At 34.3% G+C, this 24,593-nt stretch overlaps 1 protein-coding gene across 1 annotated transcript in view; it reads right to left on the bottom strand.

Annotated features, from left to right (window-relative positions):
- The window catches only part of CENPW (centromere protein W), a 143,206-nt gene that overhangs the window by 30,733 nt on the left and 87,880 nt on the right, over positions 1–24,593 (bottom strand). Inside the window, exon 3 of the transcript NR_104462.2 lies at positions 18,963–19,037. The gene's annotated coding sequence lies outside the window, so the exon portion shown is untranslated. The remainder of the gene's footprint in view (positions 1–18,962; positions 19,038–24,593) is intronic.

The following is a 24,593-nucleotide window of genomic DNA, read 5'->3' as shown; positions in this document are numbered from 1 at the left end:
GTTCTACTTATATAATTCCTATTGACCCATTTTCAAGTCCACTTACTCTCATCTGTCATCTTTATTCTGCTCTTGACCCCATTCAGTGAGAATTTGGTTTGGTTTGTTGTTGTTGCTACTCTTTTCTCAGCTCTTAAATTTCTAATACGTTCTCCTGTATATCTTCTATTTCTTTTGTAAAATCTTCTATTTTTACATTCATTGCAGAAGTGTTTGCAATTGCTTGCTGTAGCATTTCTACAATAAGATGTTTAAATTTCTGTCCGATGATTCCAACACCTGTGTCATTTGTTCTGGAATCTCAGTTCTTCTCTATGCAAGTTGAAATATTCTTATTTTCTCATATATCACGTTATTTTGAATTAAATCCTGGATGTTTTGAATAATACACTATGAGATAGTAGGTCCTACTTAAATCTCATTGAAAATGTTGATATTCTCCTTTCAGTAGGAAATCAATTTGGGTAAGTTTAGGCTGTAAGTTCTAACCCATCTTCTGCAGTCTATGATTTCAATGTCACTTCAGTTGTCAAAGCCTTTGCATTTCTATTTGTACCTGTTCCACATGTGCACCAACCAGTATCAGTCTATGACCTGGGTGGGGGGTCTATTGGTTAATTCATGTCTGAAAGTCTTTCGTATAGTTATTAGGATCAGATCCACACATGTGCATCTCAAAGATGAGCTCAGGAATTAATTTTCTATTTGTGGACTCATTTCCCTGAGCTCCATCCTCCCCATGATTGCCACAATACTAACCAAATTTCTTGGGCTCCAGTTTTCATACCTCCTACCAAAAAGCTGAAATTTTATTTACTCCTGTCACACACTTGTGTGACTGAACCCATATGTAGAGCTAAGTGGCAAGAGGAAAGGGGAGAAGAGAGCAAGAGGGGAGGAGGGTGTTTATCCCACCATCTTGGAGGTCATGCCTCCACTGATCAGAAGGTTTCCTCTCTCCCAAATTTAGTCTCCTTGCAGGTTCCCATTGAAGCTTCTTTATCCACCCTACAAGCTTGCTTGGGGACCAGTGTGCAGGAAAATAGAGAAAAAATAACTCAAGAATCTTATATTATCTTTCTGAGATTAAGAAGTTTAATTTCCTTTTCCTCGAGCTGGAACTAGAGGGCTTTTCCTAGAGATCTCTCTTTCTTCACATATGCCCAAATCCAGGTTTCAGGATGTACGTTCAGGCCAGAGAACACCAATGGGAGAAAAATGATAAACCTGTAGGCTTTTTCTTGGTATACTGAATTCTAGTCTTCTTCCCTACTCTGCTTGCTAATATTTCATTCTGAGTACTCAATTATTTTCCATGCATTCTGTCAAAGTTTTATAGTTGCAATCAGTGGGAGAGACAGGTAGGGTGTGCCTACTCTATTCTGCCCCAAAGCAGAATCCATTAAATTTTAAAATAAAGATGTAGAAAAATTTCTAATATTTAACTTTGACTATACTCCTAATATTAATCCCATTCAAAGTTGGTGCACTATTCCCTTAATATTTGCTGAAACAGAATTACTAATATGTTAATTAGAAATTTTGCATTTATACTCATAAGTATAATTGCTTCCATAGTTTTCTTCTTTTTCTTCTGGGTTACATAGAATTGTGGCAGCTTTATATACTGTTTTTTATATATCTCATTTTTCTGAAGTTCAAATAACATGGATTATTCATTCACTGACAATGGGAATTCACCATTAAAACTTTCTAGGTTAAATGTTGTATTGTTAATTTTTCTAAAATTTACCTATAAGATTTTCTCCTTACCTATAAGGAGAAAAATAAATTTGACAATTGTTAGATGCAGCCACTAAAACTACAAAGTGGATTATGTAAATTAATATATAACATTCTGTAAATCTAATAGTAAGCAAGCTTGAATAATACTGTGGAAAATTCATGCCTTTACAGGAAAAATAGCTACATGAGCATGCCTTTCCATGAGTTGCTTCTCATTTTCAGAGTGTAACAAATGCAATAAAATGAAAAAAAAGCAAAGGATATCTAAAAAATTAATAAGTCAAAAAGCTTTTTTCTGTTCAGTTCATGTGGTAGAAGAAAAAATGGAACTATGAATCAAAAGGCCTGAATGAGACAACCAACTCTAGTACTTACTGGTTGTATGACATCAGAATATATCACTTAATGTCTTCAGACTTCAATTATCTCATCCATGGAAAGGTTGCTGTATAATTCAGTGTTTCTCACCAGATTTGGTATGATAAGATTCATCTTTAATACTTAGTAAAAATTATGACTTCAGGAGCTTTACCCCAAGATTCTGATTCAGTAAGTCAGTCTTACACATTTACATTTTAACAAATGCCGAAAGTGATTTAATACATATTGTTTAACAACTACAACATAGAAGATATAGCAAAATATTCCAATTTCCATTTGGTCTTATCTTGAAACTTTTTATTAGAAAACAAATAAAAGCAGAACTCAATTTTTAATCCACAGAGCTTTTAACTATCAGTGTCTTTAAACCTTGGTTTACAAAACTCATGCATCTTCTGAACAGTTGGAGTTGACAGAAATTGAATCTTTTACTTGAAAGAACTACTTTTACTTGAAAGACATTGCTGGGCACTGTGGAAATTTCAAATACAATGTGCTTGGGAAGTGCAAAAAGCTATTAAGTTGAAACATAGGAAATTGTTAATATTCAATCATTTTTCACCTACAAAACTGCAATTTCCTATTGTTTAACTAAGGTCATTTTCTTTTAGTTTACCCTTTCCCAAAGATTAGTTGGCATAATTATTTTCAGTATTTCTGTACTATTCCCTATGTTGTGAGCAAGGATATTTATAGAAGGCTTGATGGATAGGAAATTATTATGAGGTTTTTAGGTCATTAATTTTAAGAGTTGAGAAGGCTATGTTTGTACTGGCGATAAAAATCAACATTAGTTATTTTCTTTGTGAAGCTATTTACTAGTTTCACCTAATCCACAGTCTATTCTGACAGAGCAGAGAAAATGGGTAAATCTGCAGAGATTAATTGGTCCCTGTCACAGCAGTCAAGTAGCTTCTTAAGATTTGAGCTCTGAGTTGTCTTACTGGTTAGCCAGAAGTTTGGTTAGCAATACACTAAAGAGACACAGAATGAACCAATTTCCAGTATTAGGAAGGAGTAAGGAGATCATTCATTTTTTCATTCTGTAAATATTTGTCAAGGTTTTGCAAGGCACCACTAGGCACTGTGGGAATTTCAAATATAAATAAGTCCCAGTCTTTGTTCTCTAGAGGCTAAAAATTTAGTGGGAAAATAGATACATGCACAAGTAATTACATTACAAGGTAGATGGTGTGATAAGGGTTATGATTTTAATATCATCTCTAATGAAATGAATATGTCTACTCATCCAAACAGCATCCAGTGGAGGTGGAGTATATTTGGTCTCATTTCTGTTTTTAAGAAAATGTAATAAAAGGTTTAGATATCTTTAAAAGAGATCAAAGAAGGTTTGTTTTTTTACATACATTGTGAAGTAAATATTTGTATTAATATCTCTAAAGACAACATGGCATCAGTTGACCCATTATTCAGAAATTATAGTTCATGCTTGGGAATTTATGGTAATGGCAGATAAGACATGGCAAACAGCAGAGCTTCTTGGTTAGAGCAAGATAGTTTGAATGAATATTCAGTTTGAATATTTAGTTTGAATGAATAATGAAAGAATATATATGAACACTTCATTGGTTCTTAACCGACTTTTGGGGGAGACAGGTGGGTATAGGCTTAGTGTTGTTTTATTTCTGTTTTTTTGGTTTATTTCTTTTGTCGTAGAACCTGATTTGAGAGTGGATTTATCCTTTGCAGGGAGTTATATGAATGTCATGGTAAAAAACCTATTACAGTACCAGTGACAGCAAAGCCTCAAATATATGGATGCTTCCTTGACCCTAGGATTTACCAGAAGATCTCAAAAGGTTTTATAGGTATTAAGTAGTCAAGCCTCAGATCAGCTCTGAAACATGGATATTACCCAAAGTTGGTGCTATGAACCATGGGGCACTAGGACAAATATATTTAAACAGAAAATGTTTCAAGAAACATCAAGCTGAGACTGAACAGTACTACCCCACACTTGATTGTAGAACATGTGTTAGTGCACATGTTCTCCAACTTTCTGATGCCTAAATCCATGGAAACAACTTATTAAAAATACAGTTATCAGGCCAGTACTTTTGAAAGCCCACATATATTGTTAAAATACAGGTTCTGTTTCAGTAGGTCTGAGATCAGACTACATATTAAGTACCAGAGGCTGGCACTGGTATCACTCACAATCAGTAAGTTAAGCTGGGGCTTACCTTGATAAAACATAGATGGCTGGGCTGCACCGCTAGAGATCCTGATTCAGTAAGTCTTGAGTCAAACCCAAGAATTTACATTCCTAACAAGCTCCCAGGTGATGCTGATGCTACCTGTCTAAGGATGACACCTGGGGTAGCACTAATCTTTGCTCTCCATAACTGCTAGTCTGAGCAATCTTATTTTTAACATACTCTGCTGATAATTATAGTGAACATAAAAATTTGAGGACCATAAAATTCAATAGAGACTCACCTGGCTATAGGGGGCTGACCCTGGAACAGGAAGCGAATAATACATATTCATGAAAGCAAAGTTTTCCTTCAGTCAATGCCCGGAGGAGCAACACAAGAAGTGGAACAGTGAATGGAGATAAGAGGTGGTTGTAAACACATAGGAACAGGACCAACCTCGATTCCAGTTCCAGGAGGCCTAGCTCTTCAAGGTATTACTTGGTTCAGGAGTGGTAGATAGAGGGAGCAGGATCTGACCAAGGCAATGTATGGCAATCATAGAGCCAGAGCAGTCAGTAGAGAAATGAGACATGGAGTGACAAGCCAGGAAATCAGGAACATAAAGTATAAAGCAGTCAGAGCAAGCTGCTCAGGACAAAGGCCCAATTTGATATTGTAGTGGCTGGTCTGACATCATACCTGGAAGAACTGAGTGAAGTGAACATGGACATTTAAAACACTGTATCTATTTCAATACTAATATCTACAAATCTCTCTTTCTGTTTCATGTGAAAGTAGTGTAAGCTCCTTATTGTTTACCATACATACTTCCATTCTCTATTTAATCAGTCTTCTTCAAACATCAAGCTACCTGTCATTTTCATAATTTTTGCTTCTATTTGTCCCAACTTTTTATTTGCCACTGTTTACAGCACAATTGATAATTTTCTTTTTCAAAAAACAATTCTCTCCTGACCACTAAAGTTCACAAATTGTGCTTGGATTCTTTACCTGGCATCTAAAATTCTAATAAAGTTATTTATCAAATTAAGGTCTGAAGACAACTTGCAGTATCACATGTATAAAATGCAGATTCCTGGGCATTATTCTAAGCTTACTGAGTCTGAATCTCTGGAGCTAAGCCTCTGTATTTTTAAGAGTTCCTCCTGAAAATATCTATGCACACAAAAGGTTGAGAGTTACTGTACTTATTGTTCTTTCCACTCCACATCCCATCCCCCTATAACAGCAGGTAGGCCTCAGCTGTTACAAATTTTCTAGTTTGGGTTACTCCTTCCAGGTGAATAATTCAAAATAGCTTCTTAGAGGCATAAGATCTGTATCAAACTTGGATATTCTGATCTGACACTAGCCCAAAATAGACAGAAAAAATCATTTAAACATGATTAAACAGTTTATTTTCCATGTTAAAATATATAATATAAAGATTATTTTGGACCAGATCCTCACAATATCAAACCAAATGACGTACTATTGAATACATAGAGAAAAAACTACGTACAATGTTAATTTGAAGTAACTTTATCTATGTTGATATCTAATAATATGGAAATAAATAAAATCAGATATAAGCCTGAATAACATTGTCCTCTACTTTATAACCCAGAACATCAAGTAACTTCATTTACTTATTTTATTTTTGGTTAGGTTGGAAGGATAAACCCATCACAGTAGCCTCTGGGCATATTTACAACATTTTAGAAGAGACAGTCTACAGTTTCTGTATAAATTCTGAGCAGCTTATAGTGAATACTAGCTCTGTTATTTAAAAGGATTTCTGGTTTGTTTCAACTTGAAAGTGATTTAATAGGAGGCCCACAGAGAAAGTCTGTCTCAGTAATCAAATTATAACAAGTAAGGATTAAAAGTATTAAGAAGTTTAAGCAAACTTTTCAGCTGCCCTGTTTTTTTCTTGTGGGGGGGCCAGGGAGGGGGTCATTTGAAGTTGGCTGTGGGAATAAGTACAGCAAAATTATAAGAAGGAAAAACACAAAAACTGCATGTATTCTGGGTTCATTATAATATCTCCAGCAGCAGTGTTTTTCAAACACTCTTTGGCCAAGTCCTGGCAGCCGTTTTCCCAAGGACATTTGTCTCAGTTTACTACCCCCTTTATGAATTTATAAAACCAACTATATTTTACAGGTGAATTTAATTTACATTTTCCAGTTCATTTCTACTTAATTCATCAAAGTGTTTTGTCATGTGAGCCACTGGGTTTTGGAAAAGAATTGTGATCGTTTCAATTGAGTTTTGGAATTTTTTTTTATCCTTTCTTAGAAACAGGAAGCCATTTTAGCTAAAACCAAACAAGGTTAAACTCCAAAGTGTTCAATTTGGGCTTGATGTTTAGAAACCGCATATCCAAATGGGTCTTGAGCTTGGCAAAACATTCCTTCCCTTTTTATTAGGTGAGAAGAAAACATTTAGGATAAAAGCAAAACGATTCAAATGGGAATGCATTCCTGAGTCTTTTATAAGTAAAATAAATTCACATTTTTTTAATTTAAAGAAACTCTAAAATAATTTGTAAGCTAAATCAATTTTAATGTGTTTTTCTTTATATATATATACTGCATAGATATGTATTATATATTGTAAATTTCTGTGTATACATACACATTTACAAAGAGCACATTTTCAATTAGTTAAGAGTTTATTTAGGTAACTGCTTTTCTGAAATGACTAAATTGTATGGTAGGATATAACAATGGCAAAGATCTCAAAAAAGCAGATAGTTAAATGTATAGACTCCTGCCCCAAATATGCAAAATGATTGTTAATTAAATCTTCAAGGAAAAGAGTTCAAATCCTCTTAGAGTCATGAAATAAGATTAAGAATAAACCGATTACTGGTTTCTAGCAGGATAGTATAGGTTACACTGGCCTGGTATTTTAATCTTTCCAAACCTTCAATAAAACAAAGAAGCTAGAATGACAAAACAAAATTTTATGGCCAACATCTGTAGCTGAATTCACAAAATGGGTGTTCCTACAATACCAAAATTTGACCTTATATCAGACCCACATGGTATCAGCCCCTGTATGGGAGAAAGCAGAGAAGAGAAAAGTACCTCTGGTGAGCCTGTTAGAAAGCAAATTTCTAACAGATATTTACCCTCAAAATAAAGTGTCCTCTCTAGTGGTGAAAGCTCAGTGAGTCAATTTGAAGGCATTCAAAAGCTGCAATTCATGAGTGAGTTCAAGGGACCACAGAACAGAAAGATCATGCAGGGGAGTCTTGACCAACATAATTTGCTGTGAAGGGACCCTTTCAAAACAAGTGCCCAACCTAAGAAGAAATGCCTTGGAGGAAAATCCCTAAGTAGAAGCAGGGTGGAAACATTAAGGGTAAAGGAAAGAGAAGCTCCAGGATAGAAGTATGGAGAAGTCCAGAGCCACAAAACTGGGCAGGCTCATCTGACCCTCCCTTTCTTTGAATACAAGAAAATCCTTTTCATTTAAAATCAGGAAGAGGAATGTATTGTGGACAGATCACATGTAAAGTTTTTGTAAGGAAAAAGGATAATATTCATGTAGATAATAGAGGCATGCCAGGAAACATCCCATAAAACAGATAAAAATATTTCCTAATATTTCAAAACAATCTAAAAGAATTTTATAAAATAATAGAAACTATGAAAGAATAGCAGAAAAATTAGAAACAGTCAGAAATGAGCTGAAGGGAAGAAAAAGAATATTTGTAAAGAAAGGGAACAAAACTCAAGAAAGACTTAGAAATAAAAGAAAAATCATTTCAGAAATGATGACTAAACCTAAAGGAATACAAGAACAAATAAATGGATTTGAATAGTGAAAAAAGCATTTGGATACATGGATAGCACCTTATAAAACAGAATATAGAAAAAGGAAAATTTAAGTAAAATATAAAAGTGAGTATAGAAAAACAACTTAAAAGAAAGTGATGAGAGATAGAAAAAGGCAAGCAAAATCAAACACATATGTAGTAGAAGTCTCCAAAGAAGACACCTACAGCAATAGAATAGAATCCAGACCAAAATGTAAGTTCAGGAAAACTTTTCTGAAATAAATACTTTAAGCTACATATGTACAGAAATAACAAACCATATACCTAGAAAAAAAATAACCAGAAGAGACCACAGGGAAACATGTTCTAGTAAAAATAACTTTTAAAAAAAAATTAAAAAGATCCTTCCAGTGTCTAAACAAAAAGACCAAGTCACTTATAAAGGAAAAAAAAAAAAAGACCTGATTGACGTCATGCTTTTTAACAGCAATGCTTTATGACAGAAGACAATGAAATATCTTAATATATTTGAGAGTCTCAAGGAAAGAAAATGTGAGCCAAGGACTTTATATGCATTTTAAGTGACCTACAAATAAAAGTGTTGAACTTTTTGTGAACACACAAGAACTCAAGAAATATTGCCCCATAGAGCTCTTCCATAGTATTCTACTACAGAACAAACTTCAGACACCAAAATGACTGGAGAGTGGGCAATAAGGATCACATATAAGGAGCAGTAGTAATAATTAAATTCTTATTTACCTATAGAACCAAGATTAAATAATAAATGCAAGGAAAGCATTATAGCATATAATGGCTATATGTCATGATAATGTTCATATAGCACAATTATTAAGAAGTGCAGGGAGAAAGAAAAGAGAATATAGAAAATAGAATAAACTTACTAGTTACCTTAGAGAAGTTGTTAGATAATAAATGAAGGTACCATGGAGTTAGAATATCACCAGTCCTTAATGAAATAAAGGATCTAAGAGAAATAACCAGGCATGTGCCTCCTGATAAAAGTACACATTACCATCTATGAAGTATTTTTGTTATGCAAAAATAAATCAAACCTGAATTTGAAAAAGTTTCCAAATCCCGCTAGTTTACAGAAAACACAGAGAAAAGAAGAACATATTGAATAACTCTACAGGAATGCAGTGAGCAAAATCCAGACTGTGGGAAATTCTTCTGGACAAATTACGCAGTTTCTTCTACAAATAAATTGCAAGGAAGAATTAGGGGTGAAGAAGGCTTACAGATCAATAGAGACTCAAGATACATGTCAAAAAATTGTAATATGTATACTTTGAATTCTGATTTGAAAAAACTAATTCTTAAAAAAATTTATGAAGCAATTGAGAAAATTTTAATACTTTTTGGATATATAATGATGTTGAGGAATTACTGTATAATTTTAAATATTTTGTAGTTCCATTTCTTAGAAAAAATAAACAGCTGACTATAAAAATCTCATCTTTCTATTAAATAATCACATTGTCATAAAATTACATTAGCACTATGAAGACAATAACATCAGATCACAGTGATCAAATAGAAATTTAGAAATTCTATGTATAAAAATAAAGAACTGAAATGCTAAAAAAAAGTATGTCAAACGAGGTCTAGTCTAACAAATGATTCCTTGGCCCCAACCCTGTCATTTTAAGGGTGTTCAGTGATAAAACTTTGAGTTCACTGATTAGTCTGTTCCATAGATGTAAGTAGTATTCTATTAAACTGCTTATTTTTATGCCTAAAATGATCTCTTTTTGACTTACATTTGAACCCACTTTCTTTATTCATCCTTCTCAGAAATGGTCATATCAAGAGAGAGCCAGATTTGACTATCTTTTTGTGAGTAACCACTAGGGGTTTTGGGGAAACTTAGAGGCTCATGAAGTAGATGTAAAGTTTAAGTGAGATAGTATTTAAAATGGTGCCATGTAAAAAATATCCATTAGTTATTATTGCAAAGAAATTTGATTAATAGAGGTAGCAAGCAGAAAACTTATTCACAGAAAAAGCAATCTATGCTGGATGTATAGATTGTGAAGATTTTCTCCCACTCTGTGAGTTGTCTGTTTATTCTGCTGATCATTTCTTTTGCTGTGCAGAAGCTTTTTAGTGTAATTATGTCCCATCTATTTAAGGACTAACATCCAGAATCTACAAGGAACTAAAACAAATCAGCAAGAATAAAACAAACAATCCCATCAAAAAAAGGGCTAAGATCATGAATAGACAACTCTCAAAAGAAGCTATACAAATGGCCAACAAACATATGAAAAAATGCTCAACATCGCTAATTATCAGAGAAATGCAAATCAAAACCACAATGTGATTCCACCTTACTCCTGCAAGAGTGGCCATAACCAAAAAATCAAAACATAATAGATGTTGGCATGGAAGTGGTAAAAAGTGAACACTTTTACACTGTTAGTGGGAATGTAAACTGGTACAACCACTGTGGAAAACAGTGTGGAGATTCCTTAAAGAACTCAAAGTAGAACTACTGTTTGATCCAGCAGTCCCACTACTGGGTATTACCCAGAGGAAAAGAAGTCATTATATGAAAAAGATACTTGCACACGCATGTTTATAGCAGCACAATTCACAACGGCAAAAATATGGAATCAGCCCGAATACTCATTAATCAATGAGTGGATAAAGAAAACGTGGCATATGTATACCCTGGAATACTACTCAGCCCTGAAAGGAACGAAATGATAGCATTCACAGAAACGTGGATGGAATTGGAGACAATTATTCCAAGTGAGGTAACTCAGGAATGGAAAACCACACATTGTATATTCTCACTCATAAGTGGGGGCTAAACTATGAGGATGCAAAGGCATGAGAATGATAGAAGGGACTTTAGGAACTTGGGGGAAAGGGTGGGAGAGGGGTGAGGGACAAAAGGCTAAACTTGGGCACAGTGTACACTGCTCAGATGATGGGTGCACCAAACTCAGAAATCACCACTAAACTTATTCATGTAACCAAACACCACCTGTTCCCCCAAAACCTATAGAAATTTTTAAACTTTTTTTTTTAAGTAATCCACTATCCTAGTTTTAGAAGAAAGAGGATTATTGTGGCAGGAAATGGAGGGAAGTTCGGCAGTTTACAGAATCTCTGGGAGAACAAAAAATTCTGTTTGGCTACTAGAGTCAGGAACAGAGCATCCAAGGAAAATGCCCAAATTTCTATAGGCTATTCTAGTGTCCACATGACAGCTAAACAGCTATCATCTTGCTGCTTAACACCTAAGACACCAGGGACTAGTTACCAGAAACTTAGATCGTTGCTAGCCATAACAGAACTAATTGCCTCCACTATCAGGATTGCCAGCTGACCAGATCTCATTTACATAACCACTACTGCTCACTTCCACCTGCCAATCTTAATTGGGTATATCTGCTTGGTAGACTGTAGAACATTAGCAGAATCTGCCATACTGCAAAGGATTCTGAGAAGTGTGACATTAGTCTTCTAGTTTCTATTGTACAAAAATTATGTTAGAAGGGAGTCAAATTCTTACTAGGTAAACTCAAATAAATATCTTCCGTTGTGGTCTAAAGTACTTAAAAGCAACCTATGTTTTCCCTCTCTAATACAAACATAGCTAACACTTCTGACCCTCCTCAAATGGACCATTCTTTCTGAATACCTTTCATCATCCTTCTAGGCTTCTCCAGTCCTTTCAAATCCTCTATTAAAATGTTATTAAGCTAGGCCATATAATCTAATTTATCTAATTAATGCCAAATATAGCAGAAGGATGACTTTTTTAGAAGGTATATATCTGCTAAAATACCCCACTATATTCTGACCTTTATGAAAATAAGTTGATTTTGCAGATACATGTTCAGTTTGTTTGATATGATCCTTTTTTCTTCTGTAGACATCTATAACATGTTCTCTATATATTAGCATATACTTCTTTAATTAGAACTATAGTTGAATTCTAGATTGCCTTTTAAATTTATTAAAATTAAGAAAAATAATTATCTTTTGATGAATATTTAGAATATGTTAGATGCTACTTTTAAAAAGGGTAAAACAACATAAATGTTACTAAATTACTTTTTAACAAAATAATAACTCCTAGTGGCACTTGCAATACAATAGAGTCAGATTCTGAAATTCCCATTCTTTGAGATGGAAGGTATACTGTCTTTTCTCTTTTTAGTTCAGTGTTCATTGCTTATGGCTACTTTTAGAGTTTAAGGAATTATACAAACTATATATTGCTTATGGCTACGTTTAGAGCTTAGGAAACAAACTATATTTATTCATGCTCTCACCTATGAATGAATCCCCTTCTTTAAAACTCTTCTTCCTTCTTCCTAGGCAGCCATACCTACATACATGTAAAATCATTTAAATATAAGTAGACCCAATGAAGAGTGAGAGACTTTTGCCTTCTAGAAGTAGATGTGTTAATAAATGCATCTGCTCATCAAAGTTTGACTACCAAAAATGATCTAACTTAGACATTTCATAATTCTGTTTGCAATCAAAATGGTAAAGAAATCAAATGGAAAAATAAAATTTGTGAAAGCCTATGAGCTGAAGAATAGGAAAGTGTGGAAAGAGATGAAGGTAGAGGTTAGGAATTACTTGAAGTTATGGATGAATGGTTTAAATATGATACAGAAAGTCATGAAGAAAAAATAGTTTAATGATTCCAGGGGAATACCATGATCTTGGCTATAGAATTTGGAAATGGCCTGAAGTATAAGAAGGCCTAGAGAGAGTGGTTAGAAATCTTTGGCTTCATTGGCCTAAAGCAGGTATATTTCAAAGTTTTTTAGCTTTGATAAACTACAGCCGTCTTCAAGTGGCCAAAATAATCAATTTGGTACAAACATTCATGTACAAATATTAGTGGTCAGTTGTTCAGAACAATAGCAATTGATTGATAGACTGAAACTTTTCAATATAATAAAGAAATAATAGCTAAAACCAAGGAAGAGGAAAAAACTCCTCTTTCCCTGAGAAGTCCCAGAGAAAACCCTCATACATGCATAACCAAGTCTGATAGGCCAAAGTTTTCAGGCTTCCTTCTTGCTCTAGGGTTATCAGTCCAATGTCAGAGGCAATAACCAACCTCTTTCAAGTGGGCCCAGAAGGATCTGACAAGCAAAGTTCAAATCTCTGGAGAATATTTTCATCCCTACGATGAACTACAGGCCATGCTTGTGTTTACCATATGGGCTTATTCTCCAGCCAATTAAAAGATAAGCAGCATCAGAAAACATGTGGTACATATTCTACAATACTTTGGAGAAACTATAGAATGTATCTTCCATAGAATCTACAGTTTAACAGAGAATACAAACCTGCATTACAGTCTCAGGAAAACTGCCAGTATCAGATTGTTCTTAGGCATAAGTAAATATTTATTTTGCCCTTCTTAATAGGAGAAAAAAAATCCAGATCATCCAATATAGTTGGTATTCTATAATTTTTCTCCTTGTAAGCATAACAAAAATACATATCTTTGCTAGCCATAAATTACCAATGTATACTCTTTTGTATCTATGTAAGCTACCTTCTTCAAAGTATGTAACAAAGTTTAAACAGTTCTTGTGTATTATGTCTTAAAGAAACATAAGATAATTATTCTATCAATTGATACTGCTGTATTTTGTTTAATTAAAAGTGTATCAGTGTGCAAGTACTTTAAAATATTTTCAATGAATCTTTAAGTCCTATCTCATTTTGTCATGATATAAAATTATAATCTTTTCCCCTGAATATATAATAAAATATCAGTTTACAGGGCATCTCTGGGTAGTATCTGGGGTGTATCTATTGCAGAAAGTGTGTTTGTACTCCCAAAGAGGGTGACAAGATCCCTTTAATTTATAATGTAGAGTAACTGTGCTATTTTACAGCAGGCAATTTTTTATTTTCTCCTTGTCTTTATTTTTAGTTCCTATGATGTTTTGTTCCCAGATGTAGGAATGCAGCTGAAAAGGCACTGCTGCTAATTGTTAAACAACACTGTATCCACATGAAGTCCAGATGTTAATATGTTATTAATTTTTTCTATCAAAAAATAGATTTCTTTCTGTGTCATGTTGAGATCAGATAATTCCCTTTCTATACTTTTAGTCATTAGGAGCCCTTACTTTATTTAGTTTTCAATAGGTCACATATCATTCAGCTACATTTTTATTTAAGGTTTGTATCCAAATGAAATACTTCATATATGTTTCTCAATTTGTTAAGCCCAATTTAGGTTTATATAATAAGAGAAGCCCTTAAGAAAGGTATTTAATTTGCAATTTATAAAATAAAGTGTGAAAAGTAAATACAAAGAGAATGTCTGAAGAGGGGAGAGAGAGAGAGTGAGAGAGACTACATTTTACTGGGCATTAACATCACATTTTCTTCCAGGGTAATTACTAATAATGAGAGAATAATACAAAATCATGGCAATTTTAAAGGTCTCTCTGTTGGAAGAAAAAAAAAAGCCAATCTCCCATGGTTTTCCAATTGATCAATAAATATTCATCATATAAAAGTGTTTTTATATTTTAGTTCTAATTTTATTTACGGAGTCTATACTCCAGCGCTATACGGCTGCTTAAATAGAGACAATTGGCACAATGTTTTCTAAAGCTAACCTTCTACTATCAACTGATTTCATTTTGTTTTGGGTCCCGCAGAAATATTAGCATTATAAACCGAACACTCAACACTAGAAAATGTGCATTTCAGGCTCTAGCTCCCATATGTGAATAAAATGAGAGTAGAACAAAACCAAAATTGATAATTTGAAAAAAATAAAAGGTCAAGGAGCTTAAAATTGTTATGGCAACTTCCATACAATTATTAATTTTTTGATTCTTGGAAACATTAAAAAGCACTTTCTTAAAGTATGTCTCCATTACTCAGTAAGTATATAAACTTATTTCCATTTGTAGACAAAACTGGGTGAAGAAATCCAGAAGACACTATAATTTCAAGCTGTATTTTTGCTCAAACTGAGGTTATAACATTACAAAGTCTTTCCACCAACCAAGGAGCCAAAGTGGCTGCTTGTTGTCTGATTTGGCTTAAGTTATAAGGGCCATGGCCTTGGCCTTCAGCAGAGTTGGTGGAAAACCAAATTCAACTGGGCCAGAGTCAAAAATGAGCATGATACAGATATATCTGATTGTTTTATGTAAGAACATATGGTATGGAAAGATTAATTTTGAGAAATATCTAAGTGTAAACTGGCTTTACTTTAAATTTTAATTTTCTGACAAATTTAGCTTCCTTTTTTCATGCCAGGCAATTTTAAACACATTTGTTTAAGAAACTGCTTAAAAGAAATGAGCCATTTAGTTTGGCATTAAAATAAAAATTACTGTCTACAGACCTCTTTCTGTTGTGCGTAATCAATGAAAACTTTTAAATTACTCATATACAGGTTGACCGAATGTAGTTTACCAATTAGCAAGTCACACCCTATGAATGAAAAAAAAAAAGCTTCAATGCCCATTATAGACCTTTGCATCATGTGACAACATAATGCAAACTACAACTCTCCAATGTAACTAACTCTCCAACGTAAACTATCAATTCATACATCTTAATAAATAACAGCCATGTGAATTAATACGTTAATCTAGGGCCAGAAAGAAAGCAGGCCATATGCCTAAAAGAAATCAAAGAAATCAGATGGCATATCTGTAAGTTCTATTTTTCTTTTATTTCTATTAGCAAACAAAATTCAGCTGATTTATTTTTATTTATTTAGGCTAATGACACATGGTGAAAAGGGGGGTTATGATTAGATATTATTAAAAATAAATAGATTTTAAACATTCTAAAGGAAAGTGAAAAATTTTGTGAGGTCATTGATCTAAAATATTTTTAAAAGTTTTCATCCTTGATATTGTGCTTCATATTTCAGGAGCTTGGACCCTAAACTGCATCCTTAACATCATGGAAGTATTTAAAATAGATTTCCCTGCAATGCCAATCAATGTCTCATATTTAGAAGGAAATATCATATCTGGATGATATTAATAAGTAGAGTTGTGTCCAAGGTCCTCACTAAAGCTAGGACCTCAAAAGACACTATAGATTCCATAGAAGTGATGTCTCAACTAACAGATTTGTGATCATTTTCTTTTATCATCATGTAGCATAACACTAACATCCTGGAAACAAATAACTCTGGTGGACTGAAAAGCATTTTGTTAAAATTATCATTTCCTTGATTACTCAGCTTTACAAAACCACAGACTAAAAAGTCTTTCAAAGGTGATTAGTACACCTGCCTGATTCTAGGTAGGATTACACCTAGATTATCTAGTAAATGTAATTGGTGGGAGAAAAATATAGAAAATACATCAAATCGATTATGATAAGCTCTAGTCTCAGAGATTTCATTGCCAGGAAATATTTTTCTGTCATTATAAACCTTCTTACCTACACTGACCCCGGAACGCTAAACTCTGGATAATAAGGTTGGTCCCAAAAGGTATCATCTCAATTGACTGTATGCAATCATTTATAAGCCAAGCTTTTAATGAAAGCATAACAGCATTGAAACATTATTTTTACTTCATTAAAAAAATACAGTGTAGTATTTATTTCTCCAAAATTTGCACTGCATTTGATAGCATACTTTTCAAAAAACAAACAGTGAAGCATTAAGAGTCCAAGGCTTTATCTACACAAATAAAGTGAAATATTAGCAAAGTGGTCTTGTGGGAAGGGCAGTGGTCCAAAGGTTTTCAGATGCCTCTATCTAATAAGACATTACACTGGGCAAGTGACTCAGCCTCTCATTTAATATTTTTAAGCAGTAAAATTGGAATAATAATGGTTATCTGAGAAAATTAATTACATAAGTAACATAGATTGCAGGATTTACAAAGATGCTAAATTCATCTTTTTACTTAACAGCAGGATATGAGCCTTAAATTACCTAAGTTTCACAACAGACATAGGATACTGATAAGTCACAAAGTTGTACTAAAGCATCCCAAATTTCTCCTTCTATATAAACAAATATAAGATAGATGAAGTCTAGTAGACCACCAGGAAGGCAGAAAAAACAAAAGATATATCAATCACAATGGCTGAGAGACTAAATAACCTTTTAATAGAAAAAAGTAAGCATAATATCACCATAAATGTACAGATTTATGTAAAAAGGACAGAAAATAATGTACCTGCCGTTTTTCATATTTTCATTCAAGAGCATTATAAAAAAATATTTTTCCACTTTTGAAAGAGTTATTAAAATGAAATTTCCAGAGGCCAAGAAATAACTATTAAAAAGAGGAAAAACAATTATTACAACATACCATTAAATAAGTTGTATGTTTTAAGACAAAGAAGTGGATGCTTTACCTACTGTCTTCGAATGGAAGGCTATTACAAGGAGAATGTTAACCAATTGTTCTACATCATGACAAGATGAAAGATTTTAAAAACATTATAAGGAATATTTTTAAACCTTAGCAGGAGGGGCCATAATTGAGTTATTGTATAATTTTTCATTATGTGGTTAGGCATTGAAACAGACAAGGAAGAAATGGCATAATCTGGATCTTTAGAATAGGAATAGAATAGACAGCAATTCATATTGAATGACTTGGCTCTACCTTTGCTAAATAAAGCCTGGGCATTTGATCATTGATCTTTGATGTCTCCTCCAGAACTTAGATTTTGTAGCTTATTCTCAGGAACAGAAACAGACTGGTCAACTGTGGGTTATAATTTCTTATTTTATTATATGTATTGTAATTTTAACACACCATTTTTTTTGCCAAGTTAATAGCAATGTTTTACTAGAAGATGTGAAGCTCTGTATTCAATGAGTTTAATGCCAGTCTATTCACTTTAACTGGGGCAGTTTTGAAACAGAGTAGCTATAAGGTGAATTTGTAACGTAGTTTTCATACACACAATGAATACTACTGTGTTTTCATTTCTAGAGGTAAGCATAATTGTACATGTCTAGCCAGCTATAATTAAGTCTGAAAAGCTGAAAAATTGCAGACAGTATTCACAAGAAGAAATGTAATGGAGTAGATTTTTATTATTAAATGTTATATGTATTATGATATGCCACAAAAGAGACATTTCATTTTTAAATGATTATTGGTTATATTCAAAATGACCCTCTAGACCATTAGGTAGAATTTGTTTCCTTAGAAGACTGAAAGTGATACAGCCCTCATCATTTAACTGCTGATTTCTTGGTTCCCACATATTCCAAAACTAGGATTTGGCCTGCTGAGTTTGGCAAGTTTCATGTTGGTATCAAGCAAACTACCATTCAAAAAAGTGTTGGATAGCACTACCATAACTCTTGAGTTGTACTGAAATCCAAATGTGAATTTCCTGGAACACATATGGGAACATGTAGTCAACAGATTTCTGAAATTGCATACCAGCACTCTGCTTTGCTTCTACAAGTGCTTGCCTATCTTGGAAGAAAATCTATTAAAATGTTTCCTGATGGATTCAGAGAGAAGATAACTGCAAGTAAAATGGTCACTTCACTAGTCAGCTTCAAAATTATATACTCTGACTTTCATATAAAACAGAACAAATAAAACATATTTATTATGTATATATAAAGGCATACTTCCAAAATAGCAAAGGATTAGAGTGATAAAATAATTATCATCATCCTCTATGCAAATTTTCTTTAAATTCAGCCGTTCCCCTTACCCATAACCCCCATAATCAAGACAAGGTTGAGACTTTTAAGACTAAAACTTGCTATTAATATTTTGTGCGTTTTCCCAAAAAGAGGTTTGGCTAAAAGCTACTTTACATTGCACTTTCTTAAACTATCTAAAACATTGGTTTATATATATTTAAATTTCTTTCAACTTGCTAAATTTCCTACTCACCTTCTACCTCTTATTTCTAAAAGAATCCTCTTGTTCCCTGCTGAACATATTCTCCACTCTTCAGTTTTCAGATACCTGAAAAGCAATGAAAAAGCTGAGAGAAAAACTCCACTGCTTTCTGACATACTATACCAACAGTCTGATAAAATCAAGTTAACTTGAGAAAACAACGTAGTTATCATATAAGCAGCTAATGCTTATTATCTTCTTCTTACACAGTCACTGGGTTTCTGATGCATGCAGAGTATTCTCCAGTCAAGGTTTATTCAGCTTACCAGGTAGCCCTGGGCATTTTAAACTACCATGATAAAAAGATTCTAGCACAAGGCCTAATATATAGTAAAATGAGGGAAAGACAGAATTAAACATAGAAATACCTTTTCTAGAATCTTAAAAACTACTATTTGTAGTAGAAATAATCTCAGAATAGAAAAAATATGAAAAACTAAATATGTGTTTCTAAATGAAATGTGTCATGCATAATCTTTAAAAATACAAATTTTTGAAGACAATGGACTACTGTATATGATTGGCACAGAGATAACTCTCAAATCAAAGAATCAGAACTGACAGGCCTCCACTGAGCAGGCTGGGCCAATTCACAGAAATCTGGGACAACTAGCACAAAATCACTGTTTTCTCTTGCCACTCCTTCCCCTAGAGTTTTCTTAAAAATGTTTTTAAGTTTTCATAAGAAGGCCATATTAAAAAAATACTTCCTTATCTAGGGTAGCAGAACAAACTGGCATTTTAGATGTGAAGTTTGAACTATGTTTAGGGCAATGACTATGTTTGGAGAGAGAGATTGTCATAGTGTGGAAGGTCCCAAGTCTAAGTGATATGCACAGCTCAGATTCAGACAGATGTGTCCAGGTCTAGCAGATACAGGCAAGCCAGACAGATGTTTATCTGAGTGAGAGGCATTAGAATGGACAGAGCTCATTTTAATGGATGAGAATCAGGTCCATAGACTTTGGCCAATAAAAACAGCTGGATTGGTGAGCAGGAGTGGTACTAAGTGTGATAGTCAGTACAATAAGGAGTCTACCACTAATCAGATTAGTCTCCTGACTCAACCTGATATCTGAGTTTTAAGGAGATGGAGACTGCAAATTAGAATGGAAAAAAAATTAAAAAGCTAATTTAAAAAAAACTGTAAGATATTGAGGTTCAAGCCAATTCTTTGGTATATACCCCTAGAGAGGGGGTAGCAGTAGGAAGACAACAGAGACATACTTGCTAATGGCCTTGCAGCATTGTAGGGTACAGGATATAAGCCATACCCCAGTTCCATGGGTAGTGGGATGTAGCACACAACTAATTGCTTACACTCAAAGTATTTTCTAAGAGCAAGTGTATTGGGAACATAGGGAGTAGACAGTATGGGTGACAGGTGCCATGAGTATTTATGGACATTGAGAATTTGAGAGCACATGAATGCCACGCAGCATAATTCCCAGATAAAAGAAAACCTTTGAATTGAAGTAAGTCTCAAAACAGGAGATGAAAATGAGAACCAAAGAAAAATACCCTCTTTTTTTTTTTTTTTTTTTTTTTTTGTGAGATGGAGTCTCAGTCTGTTGCCTAGGCTGGAGTGCAGTGGTGTGATCTTGGCTCACCACAACCTCCACCTTCTGGGTTCAAGCGATTCTCCTGCCTCAGCCTCCCAAGTAGCTGGGACTACAGGTGTGCACCACCACACCCAGCTAATTTTTGTATATTTAATAGAGATGGGGTTTCACTATGTTGGCCAGGCTGGTCTTGAACTCCTGACCTCATGATCTGCCCACCTCAGCCTCCCAAAGTGGTGGGACTACAGGCGTGAGCCACCGCGCCTGGCCAGTATTGCTCATTTCTAGTAACCCATCTCCATAACACTCTCCTCCAGGTTGCTGCGGCATGAAACAACGTGGGTTGCATATTTATTATATATATCAGCTAGGACTAGAAGTAGATTAGATTCTAAGAGCTCAGGAAAAATCAGATTGTTTGCATTTCCACCTACAGCAAGTAGTGTGTTAGAATTTCATAATAACGGATTGTTTGATAAACTCACCAGCTTCATTGTGAAGCAGGGGGTAAAGAAAACTGCTTCTTTTACTTTACTTGAAAATGTAAACACTCTTAACAGAGGAAATGCATTTGAAGTGGTTTCATCTATATAATAAGGTTCAGTGTATGTTTGGAGAAACAATCCCCAAATCTCATACATTGTGTTTAGCCAGGAAAAATCCTTGAAGGATGAGAGAATCTCAGCCATTGCTCTGCTTTACTTCACTTGTTCAATTGTATATCCTTTTAAAATGCAATGCAACATTAGCAGATTAAAACAAACAAGCAAAAAACGCACTGGGGTCAGAGCATTCAGGAGGTGAAAAAGAAAGGTCCTCCTTCTAATCATCCAATGGACTAGAAGTTTATGTACTTTTAAATCAACAGGTGTTTATCTCATAAAATCAAAATAGTATACTTAACCTCTCCTTGGCTGTCCTAAGGATATTTAGGATAAAATAGGAAGAAAATTCTCCTGTCCTCAGAGTAATGATTTCACCTGGCTTGACTATGTCTGTATGCATGTGTGTAGGATAGTGGTGAGGAAGATGAAGTAAAAATATGGTGTTTCTTATTTTATAAAACATTCACTAGTTGGATTCAATAATAATCTTTACTTATTTTATTTTATTTTTTATTTGTTTATTTTTTTTTGAGATGGAGTCTCACTCTGTCACCCAGGCTGGAGTGCAGTGGCGCCATCTCGGCTCACTGCAGCCTCCGCCTCCCAGGTTCAAGCAATTCTCCTGCCTCAGCCTCCCCAGTAGCTGGCTAATTTTTGTTTTAAGTAGTGATGGGGTTTCACCATGTTGGCCAGGATGGTCTTGATCTCCTGACCTCGTGATCTGCCCACCTCGGCCTCCCAAAGTGCTGGGATTACAGGCGTGGCCACCGCACCCAGCCAGGAGTCAATAATAATCTTTATAGATAACAACCGACCTTTCCTACCACCCACTACTATGAAAAGAGTTCAGACTCTTCCCAAAGCAGTGAGCATCACAGCCCAATCAGAACAGGACCCATTGGGAGGAAATCTGTCAGACCCATGTGCAAAACAACACTCTGCCTGCTCCATTTGTTCAATGTATAGCAAAGATACAGACAATGAAAAGTGTAATTATTTAAATTATGCTGGTATATATATGTCTTTTTTATTTTATTTGAATGGATCATATGTAAGCAGTCTTATATACTAAATTAAAGTTTAAATCTATTCAAGGCAAATCATTCTTTTCTATGTTGAGCACTGGCTCATTTCACTTAAGAGAGTTATAAAGCCAAATTGTGTTTTACTTATATTTCCCTTCATCACTTGTTTGTAAATATAAATTTACTAGGTACTACACACCTGATATGTTCAAGACATGATGCGAATAAATCAAGGGTGGGGAGAGACACAGAGAGAAAGCATAAGATGCAGTCAGTACACAAAACAGCTCAGAATCTATTCCAGGTACATACACAGGTCACTAACTCTAAAGCCAGGCATTCCATGATAAGTGAGCTAACAGATGCCACAGAATACTATGGCAGAACAGAAATTTGAGCCAACCTTGGAGTCTGAGGACATGCTTTCTCTCAGGTGGGGAAGGATATCTGAGGAAGAAGGACAAACACAGACAAAGGCATAGAGGCATGAGAAAAACTGTATCAAAATTAAAATGTCTCATTTGTCTTGTAAGAGAGGAAATAACTTTGGAGAAAGAGTAGAGGGGCATTTCAGGACTTTTTGTTCTCAATGTACTCTAAGTAATTCTTAGATCCCTGTAGAAATTGTCTGAAACATAATACACCTATAAGGAAAAACTCTAAATAATTAATAAATATATTTTTAAAACTCAGCCTAACTGGATAGCAAAGAAATGCAAATTGTATTAGGCCATTCTTGCATTGCTGTAAAGAAATACCTGAGACTGGGTAATTTATAAAGAAAAGAGTTTTAATGGGCACATGGTTCTGCAGGCTGTACATGCATGGTGCTGGCTGGCATCTGCTTAGCTTCTGGGGAAGCCGCAGGGAGCTTTTACTCATGGCAGGGGGTGAAGCGGCAGTAGGCACATTACATGTTGAAAGCAGGAACAAGAGAGAGTTGGGGGGAGGTGCCACAGACTTAAACAACCAGATCTCTCAAGGTCTCACTATTGCAGGGACAGCACCAAGGGATGGGGAATCCACCCCCAAGACCCAAACATCTTCTACTAGGTCCCACCTCCAACATTGGGGATTACAGTTCAACACGAGATTTGGGCAGGAACAAATATCCAAACTATATCACAAATTAAAATAAGATATTTGTTTTTCACTTATCAAGTAAAGAAATAGAACAATAATACTCTGATTTAGCAAGGGTGTGGAAAGATAGACATTTTTGTGTATTTCTTGAGATGTATCCTAAGGAATAATCATTAGCCTACAAGAAGATATAATAACAAAAGAGATTAATCAAGACATTATTTACTAGTAAAAAAAACTTGGGAAAATTTAAATGTCTAATAATGAGAAACAGGTTAAATAAATTGTTGTACAAACATAAAATGAAACATGTATTCAACATATTAAATAATTATTGAGATGGCTTGTGTGTGCTCTTTGTGTTAACTGAAAAAAATGAAGTCTATATACAGTATATACAGAAACAGAACTAATAGAATACATACAAAAACAGTAGCAAAAGTTATCTCTAGGTGGAATATATAATTATAGTTATTTTCTTATGTTCATCTGCATTTTCTAAAATGAGCACATATGATTTTATGTCAAGAAAAATTATGTATCCAACTTTACAAAAAAAACAAGGCACAGTTGATTGGTCCTACATTGGATCAAGAGCAAAGTACTTTATAGTGGTGAGGACAATTTTCTTTCTGCCAGTAAAAGAAAATTTTTAAAAGAGGAAGAGGCCTTTAGACTTTCTTTCACTGGAGTATAATCACTTGTAGTGTGAAGTTACTGTCTTCCTTCATTTTCTCAATCACTCTAATGAGCAAAGCGGGTGTTCCCATGTGAATGTGTTGCGCCTAAACCCAGAATTGAAAAGAATCTTCCAGGAGATCTCTTTTATGCAAAGTTACCCTCCACTAGACCACTGTATTAGGAATACAAAGGAACATATTAACTCTTTGTAGTTGCTAGGGTATATTTACACCTATACCATGGCAAAATACAAAGTCAAATTCAACAAAGTCATGAAAATATATTCAGTTCTCTATGAAATAACATTAAAATACATTGAAAATGACAATAATAGTCAATGTATTTTTTAATGATATTTAAACACTTCTGCATTTTTATCAGCATTTAAGAAGTCCTGTAGTTTACTGATTACAGAGGAAGTATAGTTTCAGTGGGTTTAGCACCTAAGAAATAAATGTCAAGATACATGTGTAATATATGTGGATATGTGTAAAAATAAATTTAACTCTGATCAGGGCCTTGTGGCAAATGATATACAAATAATAGTTTTGGAAGAACATGATTTTCCTGAAAAATCTTAGTTTGCCAAAAGGTAAGCTTTTCTTTCGGGTGAGACATCCTATTGCTAGTGCAGAGCATTTGGTAATTTCGTTAGGAGAGGTGAGA

The sequence above is a fragment of the Homo sapiens genome, chromosome 6, assembly GCF_000001405.40.
Source record: "Homo sapiens chromosome 6, GRCh38.p14 Primary Assembly".
NCBI classification, from domain to species: domain Eukaryota; kingdom Metazoa; phylum Chordata; class Mammalia; order Primates; family Hominidae; genus Homo; species Homo sapiens.
The sequence above is the reverse complement of the archived record's forward strand: the minus strand, read 5'-3'. Positions and strand labels throughout refer to the sequence as shown.